Source organism: Homo sapiens, chromosome 11 (assembly GCF_000001405.40).
Source record: "Homo sapiens chromosome 11, GRCh38.p14 Primary Assembly".
NCBI lineage: Eukaryota > Metazoa > Chordata > Mammalia > Primates > Hominidae > Homo > Homo sapiens.
In genome coordinates, this window is record NC_000011.10 from 17,187,198 (window position 1) to 17,211,613 (window position 24,416).

The 24,416-nt window shown below is 43.5% G+C and overlaps 1 protein-coding gene and 1 pseudogene across 6 annotated transcripts in view, besides 8 other annotated features; one reads left to right on the plus strand and one right to left on the minus strand.

Moving 5' to 3' along the window:
- The window catches only part of PIK3C2A (phosphatidylinositol-4-phosphate 3-kinase catalytic subunit type 2 alpha), a 121,412-nt gene extending 100,623 nt beyond the window's left edge, over nt 1-20,789 (minus strand). For 3 of the 6 annotated variants that reach the window (NM_001321380.2, NM_001386870.1, NM_002645.4), the window contains exon 1: nt 20,651-20,789. The gene's annotated coding sequence lies outside the window, so the exon portion shown is untranslated. Of the gene's footprint in view, nt 1-7,191; nt 7,218-17,109; nt 17,179-20,650 lie in introns of all 6 variants that reach the window. The other 3 variants (XM_047427128.1, NM_001321378.2, XM_047427127.1) reach the window with 2 other exon arrangements.
- On the plus strand, nt 6,247-7,228 carry RPL29P21 (ribosomal protein L29 pseudogene 21; annotated as a pseudogene).
- Nucleotides 8,079-8,580: an enhancer, noted in NCBI's record as "H3K27ac hESC enhancer chr11:17216823-17217324 (GRCh37/hg19 assembly coordinates)". NCBI's record gives its function as "activates a minimal SCP1, AML or CMV promoter by ChIP-STARR-seq in naive H9 embryonic stem cells {active_cell/tissue: H9 hESC(naive)}" and the evidence as "EXISTENCE:reporter gene assay evidence [ECO:0000049][PMID:30033119]".
- Nucleotides 14,713-15,214: an enhancer, noted in NCBI's record as "H3K27ac hESC enhancer chr11:17223457-17223958 (GRCh37/hg19 assembly coordinates)". NCBI's record gives its function as "activates a minimal SCP1, AML or CMV promoter by ChIP-STARR-seq in naive H9 embryonic stem cells {active_cell/tissue: H9 hESC(naive)}" and the evidence as "EXISTENCE:reporter gene assay evidence [ECO:0000049][PMID:30033119]".
- Nucleotides 20,056-20,579: an enhancer, noted in NCBI's record as "H3K27ac hESC enhancer chr11:17228800-17229323 (GRCh37/hg19 assembly coordinates)". NCBI's record gives its function as "activates a minimal SCP1, AML or CMV promoter by ChIP-STARR-seq in naive H9 embryonic stem cells {active_cell/tissue: H9 hESC(naive)}" and the evidence as "EXISTENCE:reporter gene assay evidence [ECO:0000049][PMID:30033119]".
- Nucleotides 20,248-20,507: a silencer, noted in NCBI's record as "silent region_3181". NCBI's record gives its function as "represses an Ori minimal core promoter by ATAC-STARR-seq in GM12878 lymphoblastoid cells {active_cell/tissue: GM12878}" and the evidence as "EXISTENCE:reporter gene assay evidence [ECO:0000049][PMID:35858748]".
- Nucleotides 20,580-21,102: an enhancer, noted in NCBI's record as "H3K27ac hESC enhancer chr11:17229324-17229846 (GRCh37/hg19 assembly coordinates)". NCBI's record gives its function as "activates a minimal SCP1, AML or CMV promoter by ChIP-STARR-seq in naive and primed H9 embryonic stem cells {active_cell/tissue: H9 hESC(naive and primed)}" and the evidence as "EXISTENCE:reporter gene assay evidence [ECO:0000049][PMID:30033119]".
- Nucleotides 20,608-20,717: an enhancer, noted in NCBI's record as "active region_4485". NCBI's record gives its function as "activates an Ori minimal core promoter by ATAC-STARR-seq in GM12878 lymphoblastoid cells {active_cell/tissue: GM12878}" and the evidence as "EXISTENCE:reporter gene assay evidence [ECO:0000049][PMID:35858748]".
- Nucleotides 20,858-20,937: a silencer, noted in NCBI's record as "silent region_3182". NCBI's record gives its function as "represses an Ori minimal core promoter by ATAC-STARR-seq in GM12878 lymphoblastoid cells {active_cell/tissue: GM12878}" and the evidence as "EXISTENCE:reporter gene assay evidence [ECO:0000049][PMID:35858748]".
- Nucleotides 24,237-24,416: an enhancer, noted in NCBI's record as "active region_4486". NCBI's record gives its function as "activates an Ori minimal core promoter by ATAC-STARR-seq in GM12878 lymphoblastoid cells {active_cell/tissue: GM12878}" and the evidence as "EXISTENCE:reporter gene assay evidence [ECO:0000049][PMID:35858748]".

The following is a 24,416-nucleotide window of genomic DNA, read 5'->3' on the forward strand; positions in this document are numbered from 1 at the left end:
AAACAAGAAAAAAATCATGAGAGCGATTAGCACATGAAGACTGGTATCAAATAAATACAAGGAACAGAGTATCCTAAGGAGGAAATGGTTAATATTGTCAGAAACTACAGAGAGATGACACAGGATAAGGACTGGAATAAAACACTAAATCTAAGAACTCAGTGATGTTTAAAATAATAGCTTTATTGAGATATAACTCACTTAATATGAAATTTACCCTTTTAAAGTATACTATTCAGTTGTTTTTAGTATATTCAGAGGTGTGTGACCATCACTACCACCAAGTTTCAGAACACTTTCATCACCCCATAAAGAAACCCTGCACCCATTAGCAGAGTTTCTCATTGGCAGGGTTTCACATTTCCCCTAATATTAGTGATTTTTTAAAAAGACAGTTTTGGAGAAGTATGAAAAACTAAAAGAAAAGTAAGGAATTATAAGTAACAAGGGTATATTATGCTTTCAAAGGGAACTAGGAGAGAGAGGTAAATAGGAAGAGGTGGTATCAGAATGGCTGTTTAAAATGGGAAAGGCCATAGACTGAAGGGAAGGATTCGGGGAAAAAGACTGAGAGGCACAGAGACAGAAGATATATACTCGCTCACAAACTGGATACAGTTGAACAGGATACAATCAGAAACACAGATGGAGGGGTTTGACTTGGAAAGGAAGAGACACCTTAGGGGACTATCATGACAAAAGTAAGAAACTACTAAGTCAATAACTAAAAATGAGGGACAGCTGGGAGCCAATGGTAGGAAGCAGATTTACTTTTTGCTAAATTTTGGTAGTTTTAAATTTTTCATCATTTGCATGTTTTAATATCTCAAAATAAAGATGATAAATACGGGGATTTTGGGCCAGGCATGGTGGCTCACGCCTGTAATCCTAGCACTTTGGGAGGCCGAGGTGGGTGGATCACTTGAGGTCAGGAGTTCGAGACCAGCCTGGCCAACATGGCGAAACCCCATCTCTACTAAAAATACAAAAATTAGCTGGGCATGGTGGTGCATGCCTGTAATCTGCAGCTACTCAGGAGTCTGAGGCAGGAGAATCACTTGAGCCCAGGAGGTGGAGATTGCAGTGAGCTGAGATCATGCACCACTACACTCCAACCTGGGTGACAGAGTGAGACCCTGTCTCAAAAAAAAAGAAAAAGAAATGTCACAGAACAGAGAACACACAAACACCTAATGAATTAAATTTCAGAAAGTGATAGCCCTTTAATAGAGAGAGAGGCCCAACACTACTCTCTTCCCTGGTGCAGCAGCATCAGGAGAAAACGTACTGTAGATGGGGATAAGAAGAAACAAACCAGACTTTTAAGAAATTTTTAATGCCAAATGTAGGCTAGCATGACAGATTAAAATTCTAAGGCGTGGTGGAGGTAAAGCTGAGTAGTCTAATGTGCTGGAAAAAGAATTACAAGGAGCCCCAGACATGGAACCCATCTGTACCCATCTACCAACTCTCCTACAGGTCTTCACTAAATACACAGGTAGCACACTGAAAGCTGAAGACAGATCAGAAGAACTGAAAGAGATCCCATCTGAAGTATGTAGGCCTCCCTGAAGTACAAGGCAGTTATCTTCCAAAGGAGGATTGGCAAGTGGCAGACAGAAATCCATCTGAGGTAATCCAAGCTTTTGGCTACCAAAGGCTGTGGAGGCAAGAGCTGAGAAAAAGCTCTCCACGGCATTCCAGGCCTTCACAGAATGTAAAACAGCTGCCCTCCTGAGGCAAGGGTAAGAGCAGCAAGGCAGAGATCTCCTTTGCTGCAGAGATCTCCTGAGACACAGAAAGGCAAGAAGCACAATTAAAGAACAAAGAGAACCTCCCAGCGACCTAAAAAGCTGGCAGCTCAGCTGGCAAAACAGATCTCTGAAATCATGTCAGTGCTTAGATCCCAAATCCTGCTGAGGAGAAAGTCATAATTCTGCCCCAAAGTATTTGGACCCAGTGGTAAACTGAATCAAACTACAGCTGCAACAAAGCACAGACTCATCTTACTTATAAATTAGACTTACTCAATTTAGTGGCCAGACAGAATAAATGGAATTTTGGAGGTAAATATTAAGTAAAAAATAAGTAAACTTCAGGTTCTCCTTTGTTTTATAGAAGCTGTCTGGTATACATGCCAGGTACGGCAGCTCACGCCTGTAATCCCAGCACTATGGCAGGCCGAGGCGGGTGGATCACCTGAGGTCAGGAGTTCAAGACCAGCGTGGCCAAGATGGTGAAACCCCATCTCTACTAAAAATACAAAAATTAGCTGGGCATGGTAGCACAGGCCTGTAATCCCAGATACTCAGGAGACTGAGGCTGGAGAATTGCTTGAACTTGGGAGGCAGAGATTGTGGTTGTTTTTAGTATATTCAGTTGTTTTTAGTATATTTTTAGTATATTCACAGGCGTGTGACCATCACTACTACCAAGTTTCAGAATACTTTCATCGCCCCATAAAGAAACCCTGCACTCATTAGCAGTCACATTTCCCCTCCCTAATATTAGTGATTTTAAAAGAAGACAGTTTTGGAGAAGTATGAAAAACTAAAAAGTGAGCTGAAATTGAGCCACTGCACTCCAGCCTGGGTCACAGAGTGAGGCTCTGTCTCAAAAAAAAAAAAAAAAAAAAAAAAGATGTCTGGTATAAAATAAAAGATTATGAGACATAAAAAGAAGCAAGAAAATGTGACCAATGGTAAGTAAAAGTAAAGGAAATAGTCAAAATAAGCAAACTCAAAGATGCCCCAAATGTTGGAATTATTATTAAATAGTAAGTTTAGGCTGGGCGTGGTGGCTCAGGCCTGTAATCCCAGCACTTTGGGAGGCCAAGGTGGGTGGATCACTTGAGGTCAGCAGTTCAAGATCAGCCTGCAACATGGCGAAACCCCATCTCTACTAAAAATACAAAAATTAGCTGGGCATAGTGACGCGTGCCTGTAATCCCAGTTACTCTGGAGGCTGAGGCAGGAGAATTGCTTGAACCTGGGAGGCAGAGGTTGCAGTGAGCCGAGATCATGCCACTGTACTCCAGCCTGGGCAACAGAGTGAGACTCCATCTCAAAAAAAATAGTAACTTTAAAATAATTATGATAGGCTGGGTGCGGTGGCTCACACCTGTAATCCCAGAACTCTGGGAGGCCAATGGATCACCTGAGGTAAGGAGTTTGAGACCAGCCTGGCCAACATGGTGCAACACCATCTCTATTAAAATACAAAAATTAGCCAGGCGTGGTGGTGCGCACCTGTAATCCTAGCTACTCAGGAGGCTGAGACAGGAGAATCACTTGAACCCAGGAGGCAGAGGTTGCAGTGAGCCGAGATTGCGCCACTGCACTCCATCCAGCCTGGGCGACAGAGCAAGACTCTGTCTCAAAAAAAAAAAAAAAATTATGATAAAAATATTAAATGATCTAGTAGAAAAGATAGACAATATGTATGAAGTGATGGGACATTTCAGCATAGTAACAGGAACTACAGAAAAGAAATACTGGAAAGGAAAAATATATTCAAAATCAATAATTAATTAGATGGACTAAGCAGAAGGATTGATAAACCCGAGGACAGATCAATAGAAAATATCCAAAATGAAACAGAGAAAAAGAGGGGGAAGGGTATACAACAGCATGTCTAAGTTCTGTGGGACAATTTCAAATGGTCTAATATAATGTGTAATTGGAGTCCAAGAAGGAGAGTAGAGAGAATGAAACAGAAGAAATATTTTAAAAGGAAATGGCCAGAACTTTCCACAAAGAAAGACATCAACCAAACAAAACCAAGAAGTTCAGTGAAGCCCAAGCAGGATAAAAATATACTAGAGGATTCACCCAATGAGGTTATAATGTAGTTTAAATGACTACTTGAAAGAAATTATGTCGGTTCTTATTAATACATGGAGTTAGGATCAAATCCATCTATTGTCTACAGAGTCTGTTCCTAAAGAAACCATGGAGGTAAGTTTTAATTTTACATCCTACCTATTAAAGAATTTAGCCTTGCCCAAAGACAGGTGCCCTCTGCTCCTGAGAGGTAATCTATGTCATACTTGACAGGAGTGTCCTTCTGGCCAGGGTTGGCCAACCAGAAAGGCCAACCATGTGATTTAGGATGGGGACTTTGGGTCACCCAGTATCAGTCTGAATCCAATCTAGAGACTGAGCTCAACTATGTGGGCAATCCATCAATCAAACATGCCTATTTAATGAAGTCCTAATTTGAAAATCTGGATGCTGAAGCACAAGTGAGCTTCCCCGGATGGCAACAGTCCATGCATACTGTCACATACTGATACTGAGAGTAACACCTCCTGACTTAATGGGGAGCGAATACCAGATGCTCCAACATTTGAGACCCTCTTGAACTTGGTTCTATGGGCTCCTTGCCTTGATTTTAATCTGTATCCTTTCCTTGAAATAAACTGTAACCATGAACATAATAGCTCTTAGCAGTGAGTTCTCCTGGCATCTTTTTAGCAAGTTATCGAAACTTTGGGAACCTCCCCAGCCCCCAGACTTGCAGTTGGTGTCAGAAGTGAAAGTGGTCTTATGGAAGACTGTGTCCTCAAACTTTACAGTTTAGCTAACTCGGAGAGGATCTTCATAAAAGTTTTAGGTTCATTTAATGATGAAAGCTAGTTAAAAGTTCAGGCTTGGCCAGGTGTGGTGGCTCATGCCTGTACTACGAACACTTTGGGACGTCAAGGTGGGCAGACTGCTTGAGTCCAGGAGTTTGAGACTAGCCTAAGAAACATAAGGAAACCCTGCTTCTACTAAAAAAAAAAAAAAAAAATAGAAAAATTAGCCAGCGTGGTGGTGCATGATTGTAGTCCCAGCTAGTCAGGAGGCTGAGGTGGCAGGAAAGCTTGAGCCCAGGAAGCAGAGGTTGCAGCAAGCGGAGATCGCACCACTGCACTCCAGCCAGGGTAACAGAGCGAGACCCCTGTCTCAATAAATAAATAAATTAATAATGCAGGTGTAATAGAAACATATGGATCCTCTTATTATTTGTTTAAACATGTGTTTGAAGATGCTCTTTGGGGAATATTGCTGATACAGTAAAGTTATATTCTCCAAGCTAAATCCAACATTGTGGGTCAATCTAAATCAGAACAGGAGACTTAATTTAACAAGCTGAATAAGCTACATTACTATACTGTACATCTCCATCTCATATTTTATACAACTCTTTTAACATATGAAAAAAATAATTGCTTCTGGTCCAACAACTACAAATAATCCCCACAAAAGAACTGTATTTTTTGTATTTTTGAGACAATCTTGCTCTGTCACCCAGGCTGGAGTACAGTGGCGCAATCTCAGCTCACTACAACCTCCATCTCCAGGTTCAAGTGATTCTCATGCCTCAGCCTCCTGAGTAACTGGGATTACAGGTGTGTGCTACCACAACCAGCTAAATGTTTTATTTTTGGTAGAGATGGGGTTTCACCATGTTAGCCAGGATAGTCTCAAACTCCTGATCTCAAGTGATCTGCCCTCCTCAGCCTCCCAGAGTGCTGGGATTACAGACGTAAGCCACCGTGCCTGGCCACAAAACAACTGTTATGGAAACCTCATCACTAGTCAACCTTTTATAGCAAATACAGTATTTGACTTTAAACATTCAGCCAATTATTATGTGGTAACTATGAAAACAACTATGGTTTTAATGTCCCCTCCAAAACTCATGTTGAAATTTAATTGCCATTGTGATAGTATTAAGAGGTGGGACCTTTAAGAGATGATTAGGCCAGGAGGGCATAGTCCTCATGACTACGACTGTGGGAGTACACTCACACAATGTCATAATTGTGGGATTAATACCATAACTGTAGGAATGGGCTCCTGATTAAAAGATGAGTTCAGCCAGATTTCCTCTCTGTCATATGTGGTCGCCTGCACTCTGTTAGGACACAGCAAGAACGCCCTCACCAGATGCCAAGCGGATGTTAGTACTACCATGCCCTTGGACTTCCCAGCCTCCAGAACTGTAAGCCAAATAAATTTATTTTCTTTATAAAGTATCAATCTGTGGTATTGTTACAGCAGCAGAAAATGAACTAAGACATTCTTCCAATAAAAACTATCCTGAAATAAGAGATTTTTCCGCCGCAGTTAGAAACTGAAATTCCCTGAAGAATATTTCCTTAGAAATCGGCTTTGTTATCCCACTAAGTTTTATATTTAAAAAATATTCTTAAATCTAAAGGTATTAACAGAAATTCAACTTAAAAATTGCTGAATATAGCTTCCGGTTCTAGGTGCTTCAGGAGCCATGGCTTAGGGTGCAGACATGGCCAAGTCCAAGAACCACACCACACACAACATTCCCGAAAATGGCACAGAAATGGTATTAAGAAACTGCGATCAAGCCAGGTGTGGTGGCTTACGCCCGTAATCCCAGCACTTTGGGAGGCCAAGGCGGGTGGATCACGAGGTCAAGAGATCGAGACCAACCTGGCCAACATGGTGAAACCCCATCTCTACTAAAAATATAAAAATTAGCGGGGCATGATGGCGCGCGTCTGTAGTCCCAGCTACTCGGGAGGCTGCGGCAGGAGAATTGCTTGAAATCAGAAGGCGGAGGCTGCAGTGAGCCGAGATCGCACCACTGCGCTCCAGCCTGGCAACAGAGCGAGACTCTGTCTCAAAAAAAGAAAAGAAAAGAAAAGAAAAGAAAAGAAAAGAAAAGAAAAGAAAAGAAAAGAAAAGAAAAGAAAAGAAACCCCGATCACAAAGATATGACTCTCTCAAGGGGGTGGACCCCAAATTCCTGAGGAACATGTGCATTGCCAAGAAGCAAAACAAGAAGGGCCTAAAGAAGATGCAGGCTTTGGCAGGCCATCAGTCCACGTGGTGAGGCTATGAAGGCCCTTGTAAAGGAGGTTAAGCCCAAGATCCCAAAGGGTGTCAGCAGCAAGCTCCATCGACTTGCCTACATTGCCCACCCCAAGCTTGGGAAGCGTGCTTGTGCCCGCATTGCCAAGGGGCTTGGGTTGTGCCGGCCAAACGACAAGGACAAGGATCAAACCAAGGCCCAGGCTGCAACTCCAGCTTCAGTTCCAGCTCAGGTTCGCAAAGGTGCTCAGGCTCCTACAAAGGCTTCAGAGTAGGTATCTGCCTGCCAACGTGAGGACACAAGGACTGGTGCAACCTGCCCAGGCTGCCGTCTGCATGGGGCTGGGGTCCTCACCTCCTGTGCTATTTGTACAAATAAACCTGAGGCAGGAAAGAAAAAAGAAATTGCTAAATACAGGCATCACAAACTAACAAATGAGGACTTTGAATTAGAAGAAAAGAAAAACTGAGTTTCTGCCCCATCCCTATTATTATTAATTAGCTATTTCAACTTGAATAAAGCACTTCACCTCTCTGAGCTTCAATTTCTCAAGTACATAAAGTTGTTAGACATTGGATGATAAGATTCATTCTAGCCTGGCGCAGTGGCTCATGCCTGTAATCCCAGCACTTTGAGAGGCCAAAGCAGGTGGATCACCTGAGGTCAGAAGTTCAAGACCAGCCTCACCAACATGGTGAAACTCCACCTCTACTAAAAATACAAAATTAGCTGGGCATGGTGGCACATGCCTGTTATCCCAGCTACTCGGGAGTCTGAGGCAGGAGGATTGCTTGAACCCAGGAGGCAGAGGATGCAGTGAGCCGAGACTGCGACATTGCACTCCAGCCTGGGCAACAAGAACGAAACTCCATCTCGAAGAAAAAAAAAAAAAGATTAATTCTAACTCTTAGATTTCTATAATATTAAATTTAACTTGTAAAGTTTAATTCTTTTCTCCAAATTTTGTTACGTTAAGTATGCAGTCACATTTCCAAGTTGAGGGTATGACACAATGAAACTTCCTCATTCGAATCTAACTTAATTTTACCCTGTGGATTTCTTGTGATGTATTTTTTTATAAAAATTAGAAATATAGGGGGCCGGGTGTGGTGGCTCATACTCATAATCCCAGCACTTTGGGAGGCCGAGGCAGGTGGATCACGAGGTTAAGAGATCAAAACCATCCCGGCCAACTTGGTGAAACCCTGTCTCTACTAAAAATACAAAAATTAGCTGGGCATGGTGGCAGGCGCCTGTAATCCCAGCTACTCAGGAGGCTGAGGCAGGAGAATCGCTGGAATCCGGGAGGCAGAGGTTGCAGTGAGCCGAGATGGCGCCACTGCATTCCAACCTGGTGAAAGAGGAAGATTCTGTCTCAAAGAAAAAAAAAAAATTAGAAACATGGCCAGGTGCAGTGGCTCATGCCAGCAAACCCAGCACTTTGGGAGGCCAGGGCAGGCAGATCACTTGAGGTCAAGAGTTCAAAACCAGTCTGGCCAACATGGTGAAACTCCATCTCTACCAAAAAATACAAAAATTGACCAGGCATGGTGGAGTGCACCACATAGCAGTCGTTGTTGCTGTCGTCGTCCCAGCTACTTAGGAGACTGAGGCAGGAGGATTGCTTGAACCCAGGAGGCGGAGGTTGCAGTGAGCCAATATCATGCCACTGCACTCCAGCCTGGGAGACAGAGCAAGACTCTATTGCAAAAAAAAAAAAAGGAGCCCCGCGCGCTGGCTCACGCCTGTAATCCCAGCACTTTGGGAGGCCAAGGCAGGTGGATCACGAGGTCAGGGGTTTGAGACCATCCTGGCTAACATGGTGAAACCCCATCTTGAATAAAAATACAAAAAATTAGCCAGGCATGGTGGCAGGCGCCTGCAGTCCCAGCTACTTGGGAGGCTGAGGCAGGAGAATGGCATGAACCAGGGAGGCAGAGCTTGCAGTGAGCCGAGATAGTGCCACTGCACTCCAGCCTGGGCAACAGAGCGAGACTTCATCTCGAAAGAAAAAAAGAAAAGAAAAGAAAAAAGAAAAGAAACATACTATCACATTGTGGATTAAGAAAAGAAACAAAAAAAAATCAGAAACAAGTTAAATCACTAAGCTCAACTATCAAAAATCAGAAATCTCTCCAAAAAAATCTTAAAATCTCCATCTATCAATAAAAACTTTTTTAATTATTAAATTTGATATACCTCCAAGATGGGGGATACTATACTGAATTTTAGGTATAATAGGAAGCCCAGGGTGAATTTCAGGCAGACACAGTCATGTGATCTGATTTACATTGCTCAAGATCCCTATTGTTCTGTGGAAAATAGGCATAACAAACAAAAATGGAAACTGGGAGACCAATTAACAGGTAGCTGAAAAAGTCTAGAATAATGACTTGGACTAGGATAACAGCAATGGAAATGTTAAGAAGTGGTTTGATTCAAACAAGTAAACAAAATGGTACATACAGACAGTAAATGAAATAGGAGAAAAGAACAGTAATGTGAGAGAGAATGATTTAGTTGGGGAGGATACTATTATTATTATTTTTTTTTGAGACGGAGTCTTGCTCTGTCACCCAGCCTGGAGTGCAGTGGCTCGATCTCCGCTCACTGCAAGCTCCGCCTCCCGGGTTCACGCCATTCTCCTGCCTCAGCCTCCCGAGTAGCTGGGACTACAGGTACCGGCCACCACGCTTGACTAATTTTTCTGTATTTTTAGTAGAGATGGGGTTTCACCGTGTTAGCCAGGATGGTCTCGATCTCCTGACCTCGTGATCCGCCCACCTTGGCCTCCCAAAGTGCTGGGATTACAGGCGTGAGAGGCGTGAGCCACCGTGCCCGGCAAGGATACAATTTTCAATAGGGTAGTCAGGGAAAAAAAAATTGGAGCCACAACCTGGACATAAAAAAGAGTGAGCCATGGGAAAAGTGAAGAGGAGAGTCTTCCCAAGCTTCGTCACAAGTTTAAAAATAGGTGAGCCTGGCCAGGCACGGGGCCTCACACCTATAATCCCCGCACTTTGGGAGGCTGAGGTGGGAGGATCACAAGGTCAGGAGGCTCACTGCAACCTCCACCTTCCAGCTCAAGCGATCCTCCCGCCTCAGCCTCCTGAGTAGCTGGGATTATAGGCGAGCACCACCATGCCTGGCTAATTTTTTATTTTTAGTAGAGATGCGGTTTCACCATGTTGCCCATGCTGGTCTTGAACTTCTGGGCACAAGAGATCCACCCACCTCAGCTTCCCAAAGTGCTGGGACTACAGGCATGAGCCACCGCACCTGGCCCCCACTCCATTCTTTAGCCTCCATATTACTCTATTAAAACGATTATCCACTGCACAACTACTATAAGCACATTAATAAAGGCCTTAATTCTATTTTGACAAAAGGCAATGGTTGCACCATAGCTTAATATCCACTAGTAGTCATTATTCCTGAAGACTAGTAGTCTTCAGCCCTTAGGAGCAACATTCTACACATAAGTGATTCACAACCAGGGTATCTAACCATGATAATTTTCTATGTCTGCATATGTGTATCACTGTATGTATGTGGGAGGGGGACAAGGAAAGGGGATATAGTCACAGCAAGAGATCCCTATTGAAAGACATTTTGCTGACCAAGAAGTTTTCAATCTAACTCAGAATCCCAACAGTAGTACTGCTTTGTGGAGATAATTACTGAACTTTGATCTACTTCATTGTTCATTCACTTGACATGAATCATTAAATAAACTTTGACATCACCCCAATTCCAACATGACAGATAACAGTAAAGCTTCTGTGTTAAATGTTATGGTATATACCTGCATTTAACATGGCTTAAGGTAGAAAAAAGATAAAACTGAGTTGCAACTGAGAAACCCTGAATAGTGAATAATAAAAAATAACGAAAAACTGACATGACTACTTCTGGAATTTTCCCCCAAACTCCATCAATTTCTATGACTAAAAAAGTCTTACTTTCACATGACATCAACATGTGGATTAAATTCATAGTTTTATATAACAGTGATAGCAGGAGAAAGAACCATGTAGCAGCAAGCAAATATCAGACTTCCCTCTTATAAACTGTGTGATTTTTTTTTTTTTTGAGATGGAGTCTTGCTCTGTCTCCCAGGCTGGAGTACAGTGGCACAGTCTCCGCTCATTGCAACCTCCACCTCCCAGGTTCAAGCCGATTCTCCTAACTCAGCCTCCCAAGTAGCCAGGATTACAGGTGCCCGCCACCACACCCGGCTGATTTTTGTATTTTTAGTAGAGACAGGGTTTCACCATGTTGGCCAGGCTGGTCTCGAACTCCTGACCTCAGGTGATCCACCCACCTCAGCCTCCCAAAGTGCTGGGATTACAGGCATCAGCCACACTGCCAGGCCAACTGTGTGATTTTTAAAGTAAGTTACTTGATCTCCCTTTGTCTTTAGTTTTCTCATCTGTAAAACACAGATAATACTGTGTTTTCAGAGTTAAATAAAATTATATAATAAAATGCTTAGCATATAATAGCGATTTTAAAATACGTTTCCATCCAATTATTTTTCCTTTTAAAAAATGTTAACATCACCCTGCCTTGACCATTGTTGAAACAAGCATCAGTATGTTGCTACCATTAACTGTGCACAGTGGCATGCATCTGTACTCCCACCTACTCTGGAGGCTGAGGCAGAAGGATCCTTTGAGCCTATCAGGTCAAGGCTATACTGCATTACGATTGTCTCTGCGAATAGCCATTGTATCCCAGCCTGGACAACACAGCAAGACCTCATAAAAAACAAAACAAAACAAAAAAAAAAAGCCACCTTAGTCTGGGCGCAGTGGCTTACATCTATAATCCCAGCACTTTGGGAGGCCGAGGTGGGTGGATCACTTGAGGTCAGCAATTCGAGACCAGCCTGGCCAACGTGGTGAAACACTGTCTCTACCAAAAATACAAAAATTAGCCACGCGTGCTGACAGGCACCTGTAATCCCAGCTACTTGGGAGGATGAGACAAGAGAATCACTTGAACCTGGGAGGCAGAGGTTGCAGTGAGCTGAGATCATGCCATTGCACTCCAGCCTGGGCAACAGAGTGAGACACCGTCTCAAGAAAAAAAAAAAAAAGCCAACTTATTATCAATAAGGACATGAAAAGATACTCAATATCACTAGTCAACCTACTAGAATGGCTATAACTGGAAAAAAGGAAAACAACAAGTGGTGGCAAGGGTGTAGAAAAAGTGGAACCCTGATACTTTGCTGCTAAGGGAATGTAAAATGGTACAGCCACTTTGGAAAACACTTTAGTGTTTCTTCAAAAAATTAAATATGGAATTACAACAACCCAGCAATTCCACTCCTAGATATATACCCAAAAGAACTGAAAATAGGAGTACACTAATACTCATAGCAGCATTGTTTATAATAGCCAAAAGGTGAAAACAAATGCAGTATCCATCAATGAATTAATATACAAAATGTGGTACATTAAATATGATTCAGCCATAAAAATGATACATTCTACAACATGTATGAACCTTGAAAACATTACGCTAAGTGACATAAGTCAGACACAAAAGGCTAAATATTACACGATTCCAATCACACGAAAGATCTAGAATAGGTAAATTCACAGAGACAAAAAGTAGAGGCTGGGCACAGGGGCTCACGCCTGTAATCCCAACACTTTGGGAGGCCAAGGCAGGTGGATCAAGACCATCCTGGCCAACATGGTGAAACCCTGTCTCTATTAAAAATACAAAAATTAGCTGGGCGTGGTGGTACATGCCTGTAGTCCCAGCTACTCGGGAGGCTGAGGCAGAATTGCTTGAACCTGGGAGGCAGAGGTTGCAGTGAGCTGAGATCGTGCCACTACATTCCAGCCTCCATCTCAAAAAAAAAAAAAAAAAAAGTAGATTAGTGGTTACCAGGGGCTGGGTTGAGAAGAGAATGAACAGTCACTGCTTAACAGCTACAGAGTTTGTTTGGGATGGTAAAAAATACAAAAAATACAAAAATACAAAAATTAGCTGGGCATAGTGGTGCGTGCCTGTAATCCCAGCTACTCAGGAGGATGAGGCACGAGAATCGCTTGAACCCAGGAGGAGGAAGTTGCAGTGAGCTGAGATCGCGCCACTGCACTCCAGCCTGGGCGACAGAGCGAGACTGCATTTCAAAAAAAAAAAAGGCATTAGAAAGTCATCGTCTTGATCGAAATCTTCATATTGTTTCCCATTTTCAACAAACTTAATTCTAGAACCTTGCAGGTTTGACCATTAGCAAAAATTAGTAGTTTACATAAATTTAAACATAGGGGAAACTAGGTGCAGGGTTTAAGGGATTTCTCTGTACTACAATTACAAATTTTCTGTAAATTGGTAACTTCATGATTTTTCTATAAACTTTCTAAAAAAGTTTATTAATAAAAAAGAGACATGTTATTGAATCTCAAAAGTGTTATGCTAAATGAAAGAAGCCAGTCTCAAAAGGCTATATACACTGTGTGATGCCAATTTATATGGCATTTTGGGAAAGGCCAAACTATAGGGATAAAAAACAAATGAGCTGTTGCCAGGGAGTGAGGGGTGGGCTGAAGGGATTTACTTCAAAAGGGCATAATTATGGAAATTTTTGGAGTGATGGAAATATTCTATATCTTGTATCTTAATTGTGGTGGTGGCAGTTACACAACTGTCACTGTTTTTTGTAATTCATCTGTTTTAGCAGAACTATACAGAACTTTACACCTAAAACAGATGAATTTTACTAAGTGTAAATTATACCTTAATAAGTATGACTTTTCAAAAAGAATCCTTAACAATGGTAGTATCATGTCATACATTTCAATACACACAGAATTCTAGCCTGATAAATGTCATTATGAGATCTAGTCAGATGAAACTAGGCGATTCAAGCCGGGCACGGTGGCTCATGCCTGTAATCCCAGCACTTTAGGAGGCAGATGTGGGCGGATCACTTCAGGTCAGGAGTTCAAGACCAGCCTGGCCAACATGGTGAAATCCCGTCTCTACTAAAAACCCAAAAATTAGCCAGATGTGGTGGCAGACGCCTGTAATCCCAGCTACTCAGGAAGCTGAGACAGGAAAATCGCTTGAACCTGTGAGGCGGAGGTTGCAGTGAGCCAAGATCGTGCCACTGCACTCCAGCCTGGGTTACAGAGCGATATTCTATCTAAAAAATAAAAATAAAAAATAAGCCTTGAAAACCCCTCCCTAGGCCTGGTGTGGTGGCTCATGCCTGTCATCCCAGCACTTCAGGAGGCCGAGGCAGGCAGATCATGAGGTCAAAAGATTGAGACCATCCTGGCCAACATGGTGAAACCCCATCTCTACTAAAAATACAAAAATTAGCCGGGCGTGGTGACGTGTGCCTGTAATCCCAGCTACTTGAGAAGCTGAGGCAGGAGAATCACTTGAGCCTGGGAGGCAGAGGTTGCAGTGAGCCAAGATCGCACCACTGCACTACAGCCTGGTGAAAGAACGTGACTCCGTCTCAAAAAAAAAAAAAAAAAAGAAAAAAGAAAAAAAAAAAGAAAAGCTTTCCCTAAACCTACGTTTTATGTTCCCTTAGCTAAGTTTTCCCTTAAGTTGTTCTCTGTGCATTGAAATAACACTATCCTTAACACCTCATCATCTTCTTCTTCCTATAGTAAGGATTTACAATCTAAACTCTTTACTCAAAAATCTTGTCTAATTAACTCTTATCTATTTTCCATTTGACTATATTATCCCTTACATCTTTTCTTTCCCGTAACAAATTTTTTTAAATAACTGAAGTACTTTTTGCTACATGGATTGTAGTTAGTTGGTCTCTCCTAGTTGGAATATAAACTTCCCAAAGGCAGGAAGTAACTATTTCTTTATACACTCCAAAAATCTGGTTTGTACTATGTATCTAAACACTCAAATGCCATATGAAGAGATTCAATGAAAAGAATACTGGGGCCCGGGGCGGTGGCCCACACCTGTAATCCCAGCACTTTGGGAGGCAGAGGCGGGCAGATCGCCTTAGGTCAGGAGTTCAAGACCAGCCTGGCCAAAATGGTGAAACCCCATCTCTACCAAAAATACAAAAATTATCCGGGCATGGTGGCATGCACCTGTAATCCCAGCTACTCGGGAGGCTGAGGCAAGAGAATCACTTGAACCCAGGAGGCGGAGGTTGCAGTGAGCTGAGATTGCGCCATTGTACTCCAGCCTGGGCGACAAGAGTGAGACTTCATCTCCAGAAAAAAAAAAAAAAAAGAAAGAAGGAAGAAAAGAAAAGAATACTGGGGTGGACGTGGTGGCTTATGCCTGTAATCTCAGCGCTTTAGGAGGCCAAGGTGGGCCCAGGGGTTCAAGACCAGCCTGGACAATGTGGCAAAACCCCTCCTCTACAAAAAACACAAAAATTAGCCAGGCGTGATGGCACGTGCTTGTAGTCCCAGCTACTTGGGTGGCTAAGGTGGGAGAATCACCCAAGTGTGGGAGGCAGAGGTTGCAGTAGGCTGAGATGGAGCCACTGCACTCCAGCCTGAGCGACACAGAGAGAACCTCCCTCAAAAAAAAAAAAGAACAGAACACTGGGCCTAGCATTGTTAAGACCTGAATTCAAGCAATGCTTCTAATTTATTATGCTAAGTAAGTCACAACATCTTTGGGCCTCAGCAAAATCAGAATACTTGCTGTATTTACCTCACAGGTAATAAGGTCTTGGAGGGAAAACAGTGTTAGCTAAGCTATAACCATCAGTCAATCCAAGTGTAAAGATGTATTATTGTCAGTCATAGCTATCTTGTCTAAAATTAGCCACTAGTGTTTTTTAACCAAGCTCAGTGCACAGCAAATTAAGTGCACCAACATTGCACATCAGTCATATCAATAATGTAACTGTTATACTGTAATACTAACAGAAAGCCTTATGTTTAACAGTAAGCATGTTAATTATACACTATCTTAATGCAGTCTCAAGGTTAAAAGATAAATACTTGTTGCTAAGCCAACAATAACTGCCTTCAAATCTATTAAAAGAGGATTTATAAATCCCATTTGTTTTTGTACCCAAATAGCTAAGTTTAAAATTTTAAGAAATCCAAGAATTAGTTTAAAATTGTATAAATTCTCCTTTTAACTTTCTAAAATGTCCATATGCACTCTCATTGTGTTTTAAATCCATTACATTAGAAAAACAGACTGCAGGCCGAGTGCAGTGGCTCATGCCTGTAATCCCAGCAGTTTGGGAGGCCAAGATGGGAGGATCGCTTGAGGCCAGGAGTTCAAGACCAGCCTGGTCAACATAGTGAGACACCATCTCTATTAGAAAAAAAAAAGAAGAAAGAAAAAAAGAAATAACATACTGTAGAAAAAAAGGATACAAAGTATACATAAATGAACAAAATAAAGATAACAAAAATATGACTCCACTACAGATGCAGAGAAAACAAAGACATTTCTTCTCATCCCAACCATAATCCTATGAACAACCTGAAAGATACTTACAGCAATATTTGCAAGTATGACCATAATTCTCATCAAAAGAACATCATATATGAGTACCATCAAAATGATTACAAATTATAAATTACCAGTGATAATTTTCTCATTGGAGTCCCTTTTCCTTTTTCAAGCAGAGAACCAAGACAGAATAGCCTCTAGATCTTTTTTGTGGTGGTGGTTGTTTTTTGAGACAGTGTCTCACTCTGTTACCCAAGCTGGAGTGCAGTGGTGATCATAGCTCACTGCAGCCTCAAACTCCTAGGCTCAAGAGATCCTCCTGCTGGCAGGGTACAGTGGCTCACGCCTGTAATCCCAGCACTTTGGGAGGCCGAGGCGGGCAGATCACAAGGTCAGGAGATTGAGACCATCCTGGCTAACACCGTGAAACCCTGTCTCTACTAAAATAATATAAAAAATTAGCTGGGCGTGGTGGCGGGCGCCTGTAGTCCCAGCTACTCGGGAGGCTGAGGCAGGAGACTGGTGTGAACCTGGGAGGCGGAGCTTGCAGTGAGCGGAGATCACGCCACTGCACTCCAGCCTTGGCGACAGAGCGAGACTCCGTCTCAAAGAAAAAAAAAAAAAAGAGAGATCCTCCTGCCTCGATCCTCCAAAGCACTGGACTATGGGCATGCATTAATGCACCCAGCCTCTAGATCTATACTGTCCAATATGGCAGTTACTAGTTACATGGAGCTATTAAGTGCCTGAAATGTGGCTGTTCCAAATTGAGATGTACCAAGTGTAACATACACCAGATTTAAAAGATTTAGGGGAAAAAAATAATGTAAAATCTCCTACCTATGTGACTCCCATTTTTGGCTCACATATTTCTCATGTACAGCACTGCTTTATATATGTAGTCGAATCCTGAATAAGGAAAATGGATACCAGAAGTATTAAGCAGTTTGCTCAATATCTCACCGCTTGATAGAAGCAGAGCAGGGCCTAGAACCTGATCACGTTTATCCATCCTGCCCTTATGAATAGAAGGAATTAATCATTTAAGACTCAACTTGAGCATCCTCTTCCTCCTCAAACCCCCTCATTCCTTTTCCATCTCCCAGCCCAGGTGACCATATCCTATTTAGCCTGCCCTTATAATTATACTGTTATAAAATGTACGTTGTCTTCCAAATGGATGAGAAATTCTTGAGAGCAAGCACTGTCTCATTCATTTTTCTTATCCCTGGGAACCTTTGAAGTACCAGGCACTCTTTCAGGCCCTCCGGCACTCTCAGAGCTTTGAGAGGGTTAATTTTTAGCCCTATGCAGGTACAACTACTAAAATGAAATCACCTACAATGTGATGCACCACCAGAAACATCCACATTTATCATTTGCCTGTCTTAAATTATTTTTGGAATATGCTAAATTAATACAATGCATAGGCCAGGCGCAGTGGCTCACACCTGTAATCCCAGTACTTTGGGAGGGCGAGGCGGGCGGATCACTTGAGGTCAGGAGTTCAAGACCAGCTTGACCAACATGGTGAAACCCCGTCTCTACCAAAATACAAAACTTAGGTGGGTGTGGTGGTGTGCACCTGTAATCCCAGCTACTTGGGAGGCTGAGGCAGGAGGATTGCTTGAACCCAGAAGGCAAAAGTTTCAGTGAGCTGAGATCACGCCACTGCACTCCAGCCTGGGTGACGGAGTGAGACTGTCTCAAAAAAGAAAAAAAGAGCCGGGCAGGGTAGCTCAAGCCTGTAATCCCAGCACTTTGGGAGGCCGAGGTGGGCAGATCACAAGGCCAAGAGCTCAAGACCATCCTGGCCAACCAACATGGTGAAACCCCGTCTCTACTAAAAATACAAAAATTAGCTGGGCATAGCGGCACACGCCTGTAGTCCCAGCTCCTCGGGAGGCTGAGGCAGGAGAGTCACTTGAACCCGGCAGGTGGAGGTTGCAGTGAGCCAAGATCGTGCCACTGCACTCCAGCCTCGTCAACAGAGTGAGACTCCATCTCAAAAAAAAAAAAAAAAAAAAAAAAAAGAATAATTCATGTTATCAAAGAAAAACAAGTTACAAAAAATGCTTTGCACTACTGCTGCTCTGATGCTCTATAAGAACTCTGAGTTCTCAGGAAATTCAACACTCTTTAGGTATAAGTTCACTTATTGAATGTGCTTACTTAAATGCAAAACTTTGTGCTACAGAAAGAGTCCTGGACATGGGAATTAATGCAAGCAATCTTCAATTAATTGAAAATTTTAGAACTATTAATTGCAGAAGAAACAAACTTAGTATACAGTTATTCATTACAAAAAGTTAGTTTCTAAAATTCCTCAATGCAAACATGCCAGCTTTTGTATTCTATAAAACAGAAAAAACTGCCAGGTGCAGTGGCTCAAGTCTTTAATCCCAGCACTTTGGGAGGCCAAGACGGGCAGATCACTTGAGGTCAGGAGTTCGAGACTAGCCTGGTCAACATAGTGTAAACCAGTCTCTATTGAAAAAACACAAAAATGAGCCATGTGTGGTGGCGCGTGCCTGTAATTCCAGCTACTCAGGAGGCTGAGGCAGGAGAATCACTTGAACCCTGGAGGTGGAGGTTGCAGTGAGCTCTCGTGCCACTGCACTCCAGCCTAGGCGACAGAGCGAGATTCAAACAGAAAAAAATTGTAAAACCTGTGATGAAAACATTAAAACATGTTATTTGCAAAGAAAACTGCAGGAAACACGCATATAAAACACAAATAGCAAGACACTTTGATAAGAAAAAACCTACTTTAGAATGTATTAATTCAGCCAAAATTACGGAATTTATGGAAGAAACTCCATATGTGCTTTCTACCTACGTAAAATCACTTTTGAACTAAATCTGAGTTAACAAATAAAATCTCTCTATTCCCAGTTACATTGTTTTTCAGTATGTAACCACTGTCTTGATACTAAACAAATATCTTATATAAAAATAAAATCTGTATACTTCAACTAGGGTCCTTTCGTCTAATTTGCTGCTGTGAATAAGAGCACCATCCTGTCCAGATAAGGTTAGATCAAATTTAAAAAAAAAAAAAGCACCATTCTGCTGGGCATGGTAGACCAGCCTGGGCGACACAGTGAGACCCCATGTCAATTAAAAAAAAAAAAAAGAGCACCAACCCCAACTATGGCAGAGCTGCTAAAGGAGTCTCTTGTGGAGACTTGAACCACAAGCCAAGGAGGCAAAGGTACAAAGTCTCTCCTGGAATTAGTTCCTGGACTTCTGTGCAGCCTTCCCTCTTTCTACTATGTCTTCACCGTTCCCCTACAAACAGCTTTCTTCTTCTTGCATCTCTTATATGCTGTGGCCTTTGATGCTACAATAGATTTAAAAATTTTCCCAACAGAGCTTTTCTGCCTGAAACCCACCAGGAAAGATTTCAGGACATTCTTTAATAACTAATCTTGTTCAAAGAGGCAGGCCTCCTTCGTTTCACTTAATTCAAACCCCCACTGTTCAAAATAAGAATATAATTATAACCTCAATTTCTATCGGGCCAGTATAGGAAAAGAACTACAACAGGCTCTCTCTTCCACGTTATGTCCAGACTTTTTTCCTTAGTTTCTCCTTCCTCATTTCCCTCCTCAATCCCTCCTCCCCCAAAAAATAATTCCACAGCTAGAGAATGTCGTTTTTAAAGCCAGAAATTCAGTGAGGAAAATAAGTATGTGCCTTTTTCTTCAATTATTTATGATTCCTCCGTCACTCAGGAAGAGTTAAGCTAGTATTTTTTAATCTGACCGCTCTCTCAGAAGGATGATGCGCTAAATACACACTGAAAGAATAGTGTTCCCAAAGCAAGTGGATTCGCGGCTAAAGGCAACGCGGTGGGAGTGGGGGGTCCGGGAAGAAGAAAAAGTATCCTTGGCCCCCAGAGCCAGAGATGGGACAGGAGGTGAAAGAAGGGGCCGTCACTGAGAAGTACAACACACACACTCGCCAGAACTAACAATCTGCCAAGAAAATAGGACCGGCCACTGCGGCTCCAGCCCGGTCCCGCGGGACAAGGCGGGGGAGGGGGGCCGGCGGCCGGGGGGCCTGCCCTCCTTCTGTGGGACAAAACTAACTCCCTGGCGCACCTCCGCTCCCGAGAAGAGGGGCCTGGTGGGGACGCGGGCTCCTCGCACCTCCAGCGCAGCACTTGCTCACGGCCTGGGTGGAAGCAAGGCCCGGAGGGAGGGGGGAGTCGGGCTGGGCAACGCCAAGAGCACGGGATGGAGGGTCAGACGCGGGCACCCAAGGCACTGGGGGCCGCGACAAGAGACCCTTCCAGCCCGGGAACCCCGGGGCCCCTCTCCACCCTTGCAGAGCAGGACCCCGAATATCGTCCCCAGCCGCACCGACCGCTCCTCACCTCAAGCTGCCTGAGCCTCCGCCTCTACCACAACCTGAGCCGCCGAAGCCGCCACAGTCCGAGCCATTTTTCCCCTCAGCTGGCTCAGCCGCCGCCGAAAGCTTCGGCCGACTCCACAGCCAGCCAAGCGCAGCACGTCACTTCCGGACAGGGAAGCACCGCCTTCCCCGCCCGGACTTGTTGCGAATTGGCTGGCGCGGACGGCCTACCTGAGCTGGCGGGCGGGGCTTGGACGCTGCCGGGGTGGCGTGAGCAAGGGAGCTGGGGCGCTGGGGCGCACGGGCCCGGGGGACCAGGGTCTGGCTCTCTCCCGAGGAATGCTGAGCAGGCTCTGGACGCCTCTCCGTGCACACCCCAGACCTGGGGAGGGGAGCTCTCCGGACACCCCAGCTGGCCGCCCCTCGGGCCCTGAGTCCGAAGACCCGCTAAACAGGGCCCGGGCACTGAAGTACCCTATTGTTCTCATCCCCTCTCCCGGGACCCCGCACCCTCCTCCATCTAGGCTGAGGTTCCCAGATTTGTGTCTTGGCCCCTGGCGGCGCCGAGATTACTTTGTGATTGGAAGACTGAAAGGAACAGGCAAGACTTAAACTCGTCCACTCCAACCAGTATTTACCGAGGCCTCACGGTGGGTCAGGTGGTATACGGTGGGTAATTAGTAGCCTATCACGTGGTTTCTGTAAAATGCTTGATAGCACGTAAAACGCTTTCAGGTCGGCGTCTCGTTTCATCCTCACAACAGCCAGGTAAGGAAGATAACCCCCTGATAATAACTCACAGCCAGACGGCTCTTTCTACATTACAAAGTATTTTCACATGCAACCTCCATAATAATATATTCTTATTGAGAATTTAATGAGATTATGCTTGTAAAGCGTTTGGTCCTCACGTGTTAGATCTAAAAATTACGTAACCATGGGAAGATATAGGAAAATTATCCCCATTTACAGATGGGGCTTCTGGGGCACAAAGATGTTAAGGGGAGAGGAACGATTCCATAGCGTTTTACAACAAGATTGTCTTTTAAGCAGTAGGAGAAGGGGGTCCACACCATCCAGACGTTCACAATCTGATGTGGCAGACTGATTTAGGCTGCATTTCTCAGCCTAAACTAAAAATTATCAGCCTATATGATATACGCATAATTAGAAGGCTCTAAGAGAAGTTGAACTTTCAGCAAATAACTGGAAAGAAAGAAATTGGCCTGATTTGGCAGGGACGGGGGTTGGCGAAAGGGGGCTAGGGCAATGGGGAATGTGGAGTGGATGAATCCCTCATAGCGCTGTAATAAACATGCCTGCACCTCCGCAGGGATGGTAAAATTGGATGGAGTTTCTATTCTATGGGGAATTCTAGAAACAAATGTGATTATTTCTTACGGCTGTAGCTACTGGCTGTTGTACACCCCCCCCCCTTCCAACTCCTATCTTTCCCCCAACCCCGCCCCTCCTCTATGCACACACACTTCCAGGCAGGCTACACACTCTAGAAGAATGTCCCTTAGAAATCAACTTAGTTCCGCAGCATTGTTCTGCTTTATCTTCTGATCAAAGGAGGAATTTCTAAAATTGGCAGCAGCTCTTTCACAAGATTAAAAAGGGTGGGGAAAGTGATTTATCTCAGGGTAGCTTCCTAGCTTCTGCTCCAGATCTGAGTGTGCCTTCAGGAAAGAAGGAAGAGGCCTTGGGAGAACACTGAGTCTTCAGGAAAGAGTAACTATTTGTCTGTCTTTTTTTTTTCTTTTGTTTTCTTTCTTTCTTTCTTTCTTTCTTTCTTTCTTTCTTTTTCTTTCTTTCTTTTTCTTTCTCTTTCTTTATTCCTCTCTCCCTCTCTCTCTTTCTTCCTTTCTTTTTTTTTGATCCAGCGAGACAGACTGGATTTTTTCTTCTAATTTTTTTTTTTAATGAAACGTATTTCCCCTGAGTCTCAGCAGCAGAGGGCCCTGGTCCTTGAGTCACTTCCTTGTTGCAGTTCTGAATTCATTATTTTATTATAGCTTTTGAATGACTGATACATGGTAGGCTCTGATCAACCAAAAGGTTCCCAATAAGGTGAAGAGAAAGAAAAGGAGTTTGATAGTTTTCCAGATTCCAAAAAAATTAGCTTTCACAAGTTGCCAGGTGTCAAGAATCTGAACAGGTAACCCTCTCTCAGCATATCTCATCTGTCAGCAATGGCTTGTGAAGATGCATGTGTAAACAGTAGGAACACAGACTTCTGGGAGACAGTACAAACTGGTGCTGCTGTCATTTGGAACCAACTAGAACATAGCTGGCAACCATTTCTCCTGTTTCCTTTCTTCCACTGGCTTCACTTTTTTTTTTTTTTTTTTTGAGACAGAGTCTCATACTTGTTGCCCAGGCTGGAGTGCAATGGTGTGCTCTCGGCTCACCACAACCTCCGCCTCTCTTGGTTCAAGGGATTCTTCTGCCTCAGCCTCCTGAGTAGCTGGGATTACAGTCATGTGCCACCACACCCAGCTAATTTTTGTATTTTTAGTAGAGACAGAGTTTCTCCGTGTTGGTCAGGCTGGTCTCGAACTCCCGACCTCAAGTGATCTGCCTGCCTAGGCCTCCCAAAGTGCTGGGATTACAGGCAGAGGCCTTACATTTTTCACTGTTTCAATCCTAACTTCCCACAGACAACTTCCCAGTACCACAAATATTCCCCAGCTTCTTCCAGTACCACATGAGAAATGGGCAATCTTTTTTTTTTAACCACAGATAAAATATAGTGGATAACAATGATTAGCATTTGCTAAGGCCAAGCCCTGTTCTTAGTGTTTTATGAGTATTATCTCATTGACTTCCTCCAACAACCTTCCTGAAAGATATAATTATTATATCCTAATTTTATAGCTGAGAAATTTGAGGAACAGAGAGGAGAGTAACTTGCCCAATGTCACACAGCTACTAAAGAGCAGAGCTGGGATCCAAAACTGGGTCTGACTGCACAACCCATGCTTTTTTAACCTCACAGTTCCGCCAGCGGGCCAAGATTTTAACATCTACGAAATGCTGTTAAGAAGTATAATAGTTAGGTTTTTATTTCCTTTCTCAATGTTATATCCCCACCTGAGTAGAAGGACTCTGCTGGGTACTATACCAAACTACCTACCTATTTATTTATTTATTTATGTTTTTTTGAGACAGACTCTCACTCTGTTGCCTAGGCTAGAGTGCAGTGGCGCAATCTCTGCTCACTACAACCTCCATCTCCTGGGTTCAAACCTCCAGAGTAGCTGGGATTACAGGTGCACACCACCACACCTGGCTAATTTTTTGCACTTTTAGTAGAGACAGAGTTTCACCATATTGACCAGGCTGGTCTGGAACTCTTGGCCTCAAGCGATCCTCCCATCTCAACTTCCCAAAGTGCTGGGATTACAGGCATGAGCCACCGGGCCCAATTATTTAATCCTGATTATGTAAGCAGTTTGAAGGAAAACTACAGTGTTCTTTGATTTAGAATAGAAGGCAGGAAGGCCTTCCCTGAAAAAGTGACACTGAGCTGAGATCCAAAGGATAAATAGAAATTGAGGATGGGGGAAAGCATACCCAGCAGAGGGAACAGTGTGTGCAAAGGCTCTGAGAAAGGAGCATGGCTCAGCTGAGGAACTGAGAGGCCAGTGTTGTTGTTATACTGAGAAGAAGAAGGAAGTATCTTTATTCAAAAAAAAATTTTTTTCTAGACACGGGGTGTCACTATGTAGCCCAGGCTAGTCCCAAACTCCTGGCCTCAAGCAATCCTCCCACCTAGCCTCCCA